The sequence below is a fragment of the Homo sapiens genome, chromosome 20, assembly GCF_000001405.40.
Source record: "Homo sapiens chromosome 20, GRCh38.p14 Primary Assembly".
Taxonomy (NCBI): Eukaryota; Metazoa; Chordata; class Mammalia; order Primates; family Hominidae; genus Homo; species Homo sapiens.
The window spans coordinates 9,578,329-9,591,557 of NC_000020.11; the positions used below are offsets into that span (position 1 = coordinate 9,578,329).

At 37.9% G+C, this 13,229-nt stretch overlaps 1 protein-coding gene and 1 long non-coding RNA gene across 8 annotated transcripts in view; one reads left to right on the top strand and one right to left on the bottom strand.

Annotated features, from left to right (window-relative positions):
• Positions 1-13,229, bottom strand: part of PAK5 (p21 (RAC1) activated kinase 5) — a 301,707-nt gene that overhangs the window by 40,959 nt on the left and 247,519 nt on the right. For all 7 annotated transcript variants that reach the window (NM_177990.4, NM_020341.5, XM_017027960.2 and 4 more), the window contains one exon: positions 1,817-2,602. In NM_177990.4, the coding sequence (NP_817127.1) occupies positions 1,817-2,602 (786 nt within the window). The remainder of the gene's footprint in view (positions 1-1,816; positions 2,603-13,229) is intronic.
• Positions 1-13,229, top strand: part of LOC105372523 (uncharacterized) — a 44,234-nt gene that overhangs the window by 15,388 nt on the left and 15,617 nt on the right. The window lies entirely within an intron of this gene.

Genomic DNA, 13,229 nt, shown 5'->3' on the forward strand with positions numbered 1-13,229 from the left:
AAAAAAATAAAAATAAAAAAGAGAGAAGACTGAAACTCCAGAATTAAGAGTTCTAAAACTCTTGACCTCTAAAACTATTTGGACTATAGACATGTGTAGCCCACCCAATATTCATTTCCAACATCCAGGAAGAGCCAAATAAGGCTCCAGGACCAAAATGCAGCATCATCTGGGCAATGTTTTCTCTGTAACTATGACCCCAAACAACTCCCTAACACAAATATGCAAATAAGCCACACGCACACAAAATCTTAGATAAAAAAATAACCACTGATATTCAAAGCCTCAGGATGTAACTCAATTCAGCTATAGAACATGTTAACTTATTTATTTCATATCACTCACAGAAATGCACAAGTGATATGCACAAGAAATGGAATAAACTATCTCATGTATCATGAGACATGCGTATGAGTTCAAGTAGATTTTGCTTGTGGTTAATTAGACCTCTTTCCAACAGTCACCCTGGCAAGCACACAGGAAGAGAAAGCAGTCATGATATCCTGAGTGTGGGTGTTCAAGTACATTAATACCACGAGATAAAAAAAAAACACTGTCACTATGTGAATTTTAACTGGAGGAACATATCTCAGGCCTCTATTTATCAAGATTTGTTTTTAATTTTATATCCTGGGAACTAAGGTGACAGCTTTTTTGTTTCTTCTAAAGAATGGCTGAAGTAACTCCAACAATACACTTAAATGGCTTCTCTTCAACATCTTGGATGAGGTTAATGAGAAATAAGAAGCAAAGGAAAAATATCGACTATCTATAATCAATAAATCAGGTGAATGCAGGCAGGCTTGGGTTCCAGAGTTTTCTGTGCTGCTCACCAAACTGTCAAGAGTTTGGTATAAATAAAGTACATGACTGCCCTGTGAGAAGTCATGTCCCTCTCACCTGCTTCAAGACCTCTATGTAATCCACATTCCACACCCTACGGTCCATGTTCTTTTGCTGGACAGGTAAGGTAGCAAAAACATTTCTAAATGACAGGGAAAAATAAATCACTTGCACATTCTCAAAGGTATTTTCCAAGACTTTAGACCTTCGGACCCATAGACCTTTGCCTGTGCTTTTAGTTTCAGTAACTTCTCCGGCAGTGATTCCCAAACTTTAGGATATCATAGACCAGTCAAATTTCAAAGCAAACTTGGAGCTGCTAACATTTAAACAAAATTTAAAAGAGGAATTACTACAAAACAAAGTGAAAAGGGGACAAAAATGGTCCAGCGGTCCAGCAACCATCTGTCACCCCCAAATTTCATATAAAAACCAATATTTCAAATCAAATATAGTAGAAAGTACATACTCTTAATATGAAGGGCCATCCCCTGAGTTGAACAAAATTGGCTTTATTTAAAAATTACCATGTTATACTGAGTTTCTTTCCTTTTTAGCAGGTCTATGCAAACTTTGCCAGGATGTAGGAACCACTGGATGGCTCGATCTAATGCTCTATGATTGTATATGACTGATCCACTCCTTAACAGGGAACTTAGTCAAATACAGTCACATCATATTTATCACTCATATATCAGAATTCTATCTTTCAAATCAATAAGTTTATTCGCCTTTTAATGAGAAACCACGTAGGAGGGCCCAAAAGATAGATTTTTATTTTAATGAATATATATGCCTTATCCTAAACCTCTGCCCTGGGGCCTCACAAGTGGAGATAGGGTGGGTTTTGATATTGATTTTCCCTTAAAAGGCAAACAAGTACTTTACAATCCAATCGTATAAAAAGGTCGTGCCAGCACCACCCCTGTGGAGGTTTTTGCACACGTGAGGGAAAGGAGGTAGCAAACGTTACCTTTGGAATGCACATTGTGGGCTCGGACAAGCGAGGGTAGGTGTAGGAGTTGTAGGAGTGTCCTTGGGGATGGGTTTTAAATGCACTTGCTCCAAATGGCATCATCGGTTCCTGGAGTCCCGAGCCTGACCTGGACCTCTGCCGCATGGTGGGCTGAGGGCTTGTCTGATTCAGGTACGAAGACTTTGGCCTCCTGTCATAGTCATCCAGGCTGGGTCCCCATTCACTTTCACTGTACGCCAGGCTCTCCTTGGAGCACCCGCTGGTCCCTGCAGTTCTAGAAGGTGTGAATTGGAATGAATAATCCAGAGGGGAGCTACTCGAGGCTCTCTGATACTCCCACTTGAGGTCACTGTATTCACTTGGTTTGCTCAGTGAGTCCAAATGTGAGTGATAATCGGCAGAAAATCTGGCAAAATCGGATTTCAAAGGCTTCACCTCAGAATAGTAGGCCTCCCCGTGCTTCATTTTCATTACGTGCCCATTTTGCTTGGCTGCGTGGCTGCCTCTATAATACGGATCCAGATCATCTCCATAGAGACTCTTCTCCCTGTACTTTTCGGTCGTGTAGTCAGCAGTAGTATCGGATTCGCTGGAATACTGGGAGAAGGTGATGAAGCCATTTTCTTCCGCGTGGCCTGGACCGTGGCTGGAGGCTCCCTGATCTGGGGTGGGTGGGCTTTCTTTCCTTAGGGAGTTGGAGCGAGTCACCGAGATGTTGTCAAAATCCTCTAGCAGGCCGTTGATGGAGGTTTCCTTGCAGGGTTTGTTTCCTCTAACGATTGTCTGGGAATAATAGAGGGAATATTGTTTAAAGAAAATATTTCATGGATTTAAATTGATGGTGGCATCCCACCCCCACTCCATCCAAATTAAACTACAGAAGAAAAAAGACCCCGGGAACACTTAACACAAAATGATAAAGAAAATGTGTTGATTGACTTCAGTGGTGAAATAAATCAAATAGTAAACAATCTCAAATTGCATTTTTCTTCTTACCTATCTCAACAGAGACATCAAATAACCATCAAAAAGCCATGTAGGAGACTACATAGAATATAACTGTTTTATTTACCAGTTTACAGGCAAATCCCTTCCCCCTACTTCTTCTACCTAAATAATAAGCCCTAACCACCTAATGATGAGCTGATAATTATAATTTAACACTCTATAACTGTTTGGTAATAAAAAATAATATTTATTACTGTTTTACATTCATTATTCAGATGATTTTCAAAACCAGAAGGCATTATCACCCAACTATTAACATAACTAGAAATGGGTGTACATTTTTTGCCCTTATATGGAAGACATAATAACTGAGGTTATGAAATTTTATGGATGAGGCAGGCACTTCCTGAAACTGTAATTAGGAAACAGACTGAAGATTATTTGTGTGATTTATGATCAAATGTGATATTCTTATTAAGTATATATACTTATACTATACTGCTTGTTTGTTATGGCCACACTTCTGTGTAACATCACCGCTGAATTTTGGATGGCTTAGTAATGATGGTTGCACCTGGATCTTAGTGACAAATTGTTCCCTTTAATGAACCTAAATAACACAAGAATACCAGGAACTGAAAGACATCGCAAACCACTTACAAAGCCCGTCAGCCGTGCCTTGACAATGACAGGATTTGCAGGCAAATATGATGGGGGTGGATAAAAGAACAAAGAACAAAGTGTTGTGACTTCAGACTTCCAGGATTTTAGGAGAAAAATACTTTTGAGCAAGTAGCAAGGAGTTCAAAACTATCTTGGATGGTACAATAGAAGATTTCAAACTGGAGGAAGAAGTCAAAGTTGTCCTGGAGCTGATGTTTTATAGATCTATCCATGGTGAAACAAAGGGTTTATTTTTTTTCTTTCCAAGAGTCCTGGACTAATAGTTTTGTACTATACCCTTTTCTTTCAAATAAAATTTTTATTCTAGAATAGTTTTAGATTAACAGAGAAGTTGCAAAGAGAATACAGAGTTCTCATAGACTTCTCATCCAGTTTCCCCTTGAGTTAATATCTTGCATTGCTATTAAGGAAACTCCATGTTCCTATAGATTTCATTAATTTTCTCCTAGGGTTCTAGAGTCCCATCCAGGATAGTTCATTACATTTATTTGTTATATCTTCCGAGTTTCCTCTGATCTGTGACAGTTTCTCAGATTTTCCTTATTTTTTGATGACCTTGACAGTTTTGAGGAGTACTGGTGAGGTATTTTGGAGAATGTTCCTCCATTGGGGTTTTCTGGTGTTTTTCCCATGTTTAAACAGAGGTTATTTGGTTTGAGGAGGAAGATCAGAGAGTCAAGTCACATTTCATCGCATAATGTTTAGGGTACATATCGTCGACACGACTTAGGAATGATGATGTTAGCCCTGACTACCTGGGTGAGGTCATATTTTCCAGGTTTCTTATACACACAGTCACACTCCCCTTCCCTAGCTTTCTGTATATTGTATTCTTTGGGAACAAGTCAGTAAGTGTAGCGTCTACTCAAGGGTCAGGGATTTAAGCTTTATCTTCTTGGGTGTGTGTGTGTGGTGGGGGTAGGGTATCTATATAAAGTAGTTGGAATTCTTCTGCACAGGAGACTTGCTTATTTGCTCCCATTTACCTACTCATTCAATCATTTATTTATATATAAGGATGGATGGACTTATGGTTATTTATTTTATACTTTGGGTTATAAGCCAACACTCTGTTATTTGCCTTGTTGCTCAAATGGTTCCAGCTTTTGTCACTGGGAGTTCTCTCAGGCTGGCTGCTGTGTCCCTTTGATGATCCCTCTTCCTTTTATTTTTTGAGCACTTCCTTACTTTCTGTCCCTACAAGAAGCTCCAGGTTTATCTTTTATTTTCCCTGCCCTTCCCCCCAAATCAGGCATTTCTCCAAGGAACGCTAATAGTATTAGAAATTAAGATTTGGTTCCAGGAATACTCATTGCTACTGGGTGTCATTGCCAGGCCTCAGCAAACAGAGCTCCGAAATAATATGTTTGTAGACTAACTCATGAACACACTCACACACCTATAATTATATCCATCCATCTGTATCTATATTAACCTAAACATAAATCCACATTAATGTCTCTGAATCTAATCAAGTACCACATAATTCATTCTTGCCATTTCCTTACCTGTAACTTCCTCTGCAACAGTAAAAAACATGGGCCCCACCATCTGCCAGTCATTTGCCTATTCAGTGCTAGTATAACTGTTCAGCAGTTTCAGATTAACTCACTCTACCATGAGAAACAACTTTGTCAACTCAAGTACCATGTTTAAGTCCAGTTCTTTAAAATTCCTTTACACTTATAGTTTGCATTCAAAGCACTGTTTCCAAAGTTCCTTAAGTTAGTGTCTTTTTTCCTGCACCCCCTTCAATGAGGTTATGTTATAAATGTATAGCTGTTGGATTCTTTGGTCACATTCTGCATTCTATCCCAGGATCCTCTGATCTTCTGGTTTATTTTTTGTTGTTTTTTGAAACTACGTACATTAATTAACTCTTTGTGCTGCAAAGCTCTATGGGTATTGACAAGTGCAAAGCATCATGTATTCACTGTTAGAGTGCCATACAAATTAGTGCCACCAGCTGCAAAAATATCTCCTGAGTTTCCTCTAGTCAAACATTACCCTCTCCCCAAACCCTTGATATCACTGATCTGTTTTCTGTCCTTATTGTTTTGTCTATTCCAGAATATCATATGGATGGAATCATACAGTCTGGAGCCTTTCAGCTTGACTTCTTTCACTGAGCATAATATAGTCAGTGTTCATAAACTAATATCCTAGTCTTTTTTTTGCCTATTCCTTTTTTATTCCATAGTGTGGAATTCATTATATGGAATGTAGTCATTGTTGAGGGTGGTGCATAAATTGATGGATTGATTGCCAAAGTAGGGGATGCTCTGTTGGAGCCTCCCTTAGAGAAAGAAAGAATCATGTATATAACCTGGGACCTTTCCTCAGAGGAACAACATCCATCCTCACCCCACAGATTAACTTGGGAGAAACAATAACTGTGAAGAGTAAAAGATGAGCAGCCTTGGCAGAGGAAAGATGAAACAGCTATAACTCAGCCTTAAAAATATCAAGTCTCTTTCAGCAGCTTCCTATTTCATTTCAGTTGTATCTTCCCTGTTTACCACTTATTTTATTTTATTTTATTTTATTTTTTGAGAAAGAGTCTTGCTCTGTCACCCAAGCTGGAGTGTAGTGGCATGATCTTGGCTCACTACAACCTCCGCCTCCCGGGTTCAAGTAATTCTCCTGCCTCAGCCTCCCCAGTAGCTGGGATTACAGGCACTCACCACCACGCCTGGCTAGTTTTTGTATTTTTAGTAGAGACAGGGTTTCACCATGTTGGTCAGGCTGGTCTCAAACTCCTGACCTCGTGATCCACCCGCCTTGGCCTCCCAAAGTGCTGGGATTACAGGCGTGAGCCACAGCGCCTGGCCTTGTTTACCACTTCTCTATTTCCTCAGGGTGGCCTTCAAGCCCTCTTAGACATCTGTTCTGCTTCCTTCTATGGATTTAAACTTCTGGCCTCCTTTCCTATTCAATAATGTCTTGCACTGTTTTTTAAAAGAAAACAGAAACAGTTTGTTTGTATCACAGTGTATCAACTAAAAGTTTTTCCTTTTGGACAGAAATTATACTCTTGCACATTTTCTACTCCCTCTCTTTATGAACAATAGGCAGGTTACTCAAACAAAATGTCATCAGGAATTCATGGTTCCTCCAAAAGAGCTTCCTGGTGTGTTTAATCCCAGGCATTTGTGTTGACAGATGTGCCACATGGGTAATGAGTGTAAGGCACACCAAGGTCTTAAAGGGCCCTTCTGAATCACTGGATCTACTCGGATAATCCTTTAGCAAAAATCTTATCTTATCCAGACTTTCTCTGAACTTGATAAACAATGCTTAACTATATTAGATTTTTTTCATATTCAATGTTACCTTTAGCTCTATATCCTAGAAAAATATTATTTCTTTAAATTCTATCCATCTTAAACAATATTCCAATTATTCTTTCTTGCCTGCCCCCCATGCCTTCCCATCTCTGAATACACAAAATATTCAGTCTGCTACCATGGAATCACTTCCAGCATCTTAATTTTGGAAAGAGTCTAGGTCACCTCTTCTTTTTACTGAGTAAAACCTGAAACCTGGAGTTGACTTTGCCAACAATATTTAACAAACAGGGGATTTGAACCCAAGTCTCCTTTCTCCCAGTCTAGGTCTCTTTCTATGGTATGCTTTAGACTCTTTTAGGCTAAACAAAATATTACCAGTAAGCAATGCAACGTTGGTGTGTGACATCACAACCCAGCAAATTGGCCATTGGTCATTGTGGTGCATATTTCTATCGTGCGCTCCACTCTCAGAAATTAGTTGCTGAATGTACGGAATATGGATAATTCTAGATTCCAATTTCAATTTCAGTGCACACTTGCTATGTGATTTAATTTCATTCTTTATTTCATTACCTGTTCTCTTATTTGTAATAGGGATATTATCACTTGATGGTATTTAGTGATCCCCTTCCCCCTAGAATTGTAGCTGCAGATAGAAGGAGGTGCTAGAGAACAGTTTTAAAACATCCTAATGCCCTCAACGAAAACACTGCCTTCAGTGGACGGAAATTTGTAAATATGATATGAATTAAGAACATTTCTACACATTCATCAATGAAGGCTAAGAAAAGCATGAAGATTATTTAAAAAATGATCAGAGAAAAGCAAGCTAAAAGTCTAGGGAAAGTTTCTGGAAGAAAAGAACTATGAAGCACATCTAGGAGGAAGCAATAGATGTAACTAGAGAGAGAGAAAAAAGAGATAATCACCAGCTCATCATTTACTGGACAACTGAGGCTCAGAGGTGATCTGTATGCCTTCAGATGCTACCATCTTTGGGGTCAGGATGGAAATTGTGAATACAGAAGAAAGGCTCTCTGCTCATATCAAATTGGTATCCCAATTATTTGTTTGGAATTTATGTCCAAAAAACCTATTAGTTCATCTTCACAAATTAACAAATGTCTGTGATGGGGGGTAGACTGTTAGTGTTAGAAATTCACCACTAGGACACAGGTAATTTAGAAGGAAAAAAAATCATTCCCTGTGTGATTCCTTTGAGATAAGAGCATTATTGAACACCTCCTTTGGAAGTTACAGGTCCCTTAAATCTCCCTATTTTTACACTAAAACCCTTCCAATTTGATTAATGAGTTGATTGGGTAGACTTTAAACTAACACTTCATTTTTGAGAAATACTGAAATAATAAAATTTACATGTCAAAAAGAGGCATCTATTTATCCTAAAATATCTATAGATGGATAAAAAACAGAACTATAGTATCTATGTGTCTAGGCCTATACTACCTATCAATATTTTTAGATTACTAAGAACAACATAATGAAGGCCTATTAAATAGAGCTTTTTCAGTCATTAATCGTGCTATAAATATCTTATATTTAGGAAATTAATAAACAAAAGGAATCAATACAATTTCATAGGGATTTTTTGTCTCCCAAGTGTGTTCATTAACATTTCTATAGGAGATTAGAGGGTCACTATTTCATCATGTGAATTAATGTGTGGCCTCAGAACTGGGGACCTGCTCTTTCTGTGCACTTGTCACCAGGTATCCCGAGAAAAATATTAATACTGCTATAAGCTAAATGCTATTTAGAAGAAATGACAAAGACTGCCAATTGATAAGAAACATTGTTTAAAAATGTAGTATTTATTATCATTATTTTGTATCTTAGGCTTATAGCACTTATGAGATAGGTAATATTAAGTGTTATCAAACCTTTTTAAGTCACTGTCTCTTAATCCATAAAACATTGAGACTAGATCCTTACCTCACAGAGTTAATGTGATTATTTAATACAGTAATATGTGTAAAAAACTTGGCATGATTCCTGACGTATACAAAGTACTTATAAGTGCTAGTTACTTAACTATTGGCCAGGGCGGGGTGGCGGGCTGCAGTGGTAAATTTTACTTTTAAATTAGGTTGATAATAAATGAAGAAGAAAGGAAGCTACAAACAACACCTAGAAGAAATAAATCTAGCTTCATATGGTGGGAAAAAAGGGATAATTGATGTGGGAGACTTTAAAGTACTATTAGTAACTTTAGATACAAAATACATATTTCTTGAATTTAAACAGATGTATCTCAAATTAATTACAATTGTTACATAAATATTCCTTCTGAGATCTAAAAAGCGGAATACTTTCAAATTAACAATCAGCATTCTATAGTTATTCTTCTTAAAAACGTAATGTATGAGTCAGAAAAATTAACCAAGTTAGACTTTCAAGATTTAAATGGAAAGATAGGTATAGAAAAGAAAAGTTGATAGAAATACAGTAAAATTTTGATAGTGGCTGTCATCTCAGGGTGGGAAGACTAGGGGTGATTTATATTTCAGTCCAGTGCTTCTCAAACTTTAAAGTGCACACAAATCACCCAAGTATCTTGTTAAAGGGAGACTGTGATTCAGTAGGTCTGGGTGGGGCCTGGGATGCTAGAGTTCCAAAAAGCTCTCAGGTGATGAGGATGATGGTCGGAGGGTTACACTGTGTATACAATGGGGTTAATGCATTTTCTAGATCTTCTACAATCAGGGTTACCTTTATAACAAAAAAGTTAGACTGAGGTATGCTTTTCTGTATAAGAAGAGTCAGCATTATATGTATATACATACATATATATAAGTTGTATTAAATATGCATTTTATTAACTATCTATAATATAGTGTTAAATGTACTATATGTATTGTATTCTATATATACATACATAGCGCTAAGTACGTTTACACTATATATACACATTGGGAATTACATGTTCATTTTCTCATTCCCTTTGAAGATGAAACATTTCTCCAGCTTAACCAAAACGATGACTTCCATTTATTTCACCATTTTGGTACACCTGCTTCTTTAGCACCATGCTCTTACTATAAGGCTAGAAGCCTTAGAGTTATTGATGAACAAAATCCGAACACTACAAAAGATATGATGTGGTTACAAACATTTAGAAAGAAGAAATTTTAATCACCCAATAGTAAAAAAATGAAAGAAAAATCTAAAAGCCAACCAACCAACCAAACAAAAGGGCAAAGAAACTAAGGCATGTCCTAAGACAGTCTTTTCTTGGATTTCATTTCCATGGTTAGCATTTGAAAATGTTTGTTGATGGTATAAATGTATCACACTTTAAATAAAGCACACACTCTTCCGTTTCAATGAAAACTATTAGCTCAGTGTTAATAAGCAGGGGGTTGCAAAATGTAAATGTTTGTTAAAAACAAATTAGTGCCCCACCCAAAAAAGTATAAGAAAAGAAGACCTGTTAAATCAGAACCAAGGCAGTATTTGTTTTGCTGATACAGGTTTCACTTTATAGAATCATAAGTGGCAAAGCAGTAATAATGAAAATCCAAACATGCAGAGTTTTCCAACACGGTTTAACCAGGCTTCCAAACAGAAGAACCACTAATTATTATTGTCCGTCTCTGGTGTTCATTAAAGCAAAATTGTGCACTTTTATAGAGATCAATAATACAATAACTGCAAGAGGATTGGTGGATTTTATGCCATGGAACCTCCAGGCATTAAAAATCAATGCAACCCAATCTATTTGAGTTTGAAGCCATGGTGCTCATTGTCTTTCCATTGTACCCTGGACCAGCTCAGCATCTATTCAGGCTCCCAGTGACAGTGGCCATATTTCATAGTGCTCCTTCCATGGGCTGTTGGCTGGTGATAAGCTATAATGGATCTGTCTGTGAAAACAGCTGTCTCCCCTTGTTCCCCGAAAAGAGATGAAAAAGTGCCTCTGCCCTCACAGACTGTATTAACCTTGACAATAATGAAGTGTGTAATTAACAGCTTTGCCCTAATAGGACCTCACATCTCTTTTTCAAAAGCAGTATCTTCTGTGTGCCTCAAACGTGTTTCATTTTGTCTTTCAGGTAAATATAGCTCAGGAGGTTAATAAGCTAAATATTTCCACAACTGAAGTATAAACAAAGATTCTCTCAGAACTTATGTACTTTTAAACTGTCTATCTAAATTCTTACCCTGTTGGTAAAGAACTGTCTTCCTTGTTTTTATTAAGGCAGGTAGCTGGAAACATCAGGTAACATAGTCACAACAAACAGATTTGATCTACTTAGATCCTTATAGGAAGAAACGGTAACTCTTGTTTGGATTTTGTAATATCATTAGATATTTTCAATAAATATTTTCACTCGCTATTACCAATAGATATTTTATCTATTTTCTTTCAGTTCTCTACATATACCTTTTATTTGGTAACAACAGTGGTTGGGGCTAATTGGGTGAACATTTGAGCATTGCATATCCCTGGAAAACAAGATAATTCAGGCAACATATTTCAGAGTGGAGGTAGTGGTAAGGGATTCTAACCAGAAAATCCCTCTTTAACAAATTATGTAATAATCTTAATCACATGGAATCCAAAAAGCCAATTTCTGTTTTTTTGTTTGTTTGTTTTGAGATGGAGTTTCACCTTTGTTGCCCAGGCTGGAGTGCAATGGTGTGATCTCTGTTCACTGCAACCTCTGCCTCCCGGGTTCAAGCGATTCTCATGCCTCAGCCTCCCAAGTAGCTGGGATTACAGATATGCACCACCATGACCAGTTAGTTTTGTATTTTTAGTGGAGATGGGGTTTCACCATGTTGGCTAGGCTGGTCTCAGCAAACTTAGGTTACTCATAAAGGTAAGGCATCTGTCTCTTTCTATTCTAAGACTTAAAAACATTTCATCTTTAAAAATCAAGATGCTTTAATATATTACAAATTTTTTTTTTTGAAGACAAGGTCTTGCTCTGTCTTCCAGGCTGGAGTATAGTGGTGCAATCATAGCTCACTATAGCTTCAAACTCCTGGGCTCAAGTTATTCTGGGTAGCTAGGAATACAGGCATGTGCCAAAATGCCTGGCTAATTAAAAAAAAAATGTAGAGAGGAGGTCTCATTATGTTGCCCAGGGTGGTCTCAAACTCCTGGCCTCAAGTGATCTCATGCAACAGCCTCCTGAAGTGCTGGGATTACAGGTATGAGCCACCAGGACTGGCCAAGAATTGTTTTTAATGTGCTACTAGGAAATGTAAAATTAAATACGTGGCTTGCATTTTACTTGTATTGAGCAGAACTGATCTAGAGCAGAAGTCAGGAAGCCATGTGACTCATGGGCCAAATCTGGCCCTCTGCCTGTTTTTGTAAATATTTACATATGGTGAGAGTATGGCTGGATTTGTGCACCACAATGGTAGGGTTGAGTTGCAAGAGAGACTATATGGCCTGCAAGGTGTAAAATACTTACTCTCAGGCCCTTCACAGAAAAAGTTTGCTGAACCCTGATCTAGATACACAGGTCTCATCTTTGGAGGGAAAACTCTGCTAGTATTTGATTCATGGGCTGTGCCAAAAAAAAAAAAAAAAGAAATAAGCCTCCCCAAAAGCTGAATGTGGTTTCTTAGAGGGAGGGAGTCATATGGCACCACAGGCATCACTTCGTTTACTGTCTGCAGTTCTGTCACAGAGGAGGACATGAAACACAGTTCTCCCCACTCCTGAAGAAATGCAGTTTGTTGGCCAAGTCAATTGACTAGAATAAGCAACCCAAATAAACAACCCAACACTGTTCGCAAATGAGCTTTTCTGGAACAGCAATTCGAGAAGCAGACTGGCCAAGTTCTTGCTGGGTGGTAAGGTCACCTTAGGCAACAGTAGGTGTTGTGGGCATAAACAAGAATCCATCATTTCCTCCCTCATGCCCTGTCCTCCATATGATCTGAACTTTAAAGAATTTGTGAACTGACGAATAAAATGACTGCCATCAGTCCGTAAATTGGTTTAATAAGAGTTTCTAGTCACTACCATGGATTAAACACTTGCTGTGTGCCAAGATGATTAGAAGTATTTTTCCAATATATAATAATCATAATATGACTCCAAGGTATGGCATTATTACCCCTTTATAAGAAGGAAGAAAGTGAGGCTCAGAGAGGCCAAGGAATTTTCCCAGTGTCACTCAGCTAGCAGGTGGGAGGTTTGAAAGCAAGGCTCACACCTACCTGTTACAAATGCTGCCTCTCTATAGAATATGAAAACCACAACACCCTGTCAGCACCCTCAACTTCAACTCTCAGGAGTAGAAAGGATAGTCAAAACCCAGAAAGACAAGCTCCAAACCCTTTGAGATACAATGAAAGAAATGTAAGCATATTCTGTGGGGGGCAGAATATAAAATATTTCCAGAAACAAAGCTTTTTAAAGAAAGGATGTTCAAAACTCAGAATTTATGGAAATTGGGGAAAAATAAGTTGACTGGTCTTTGAAATAATTAGCCTTTAAAGCAACT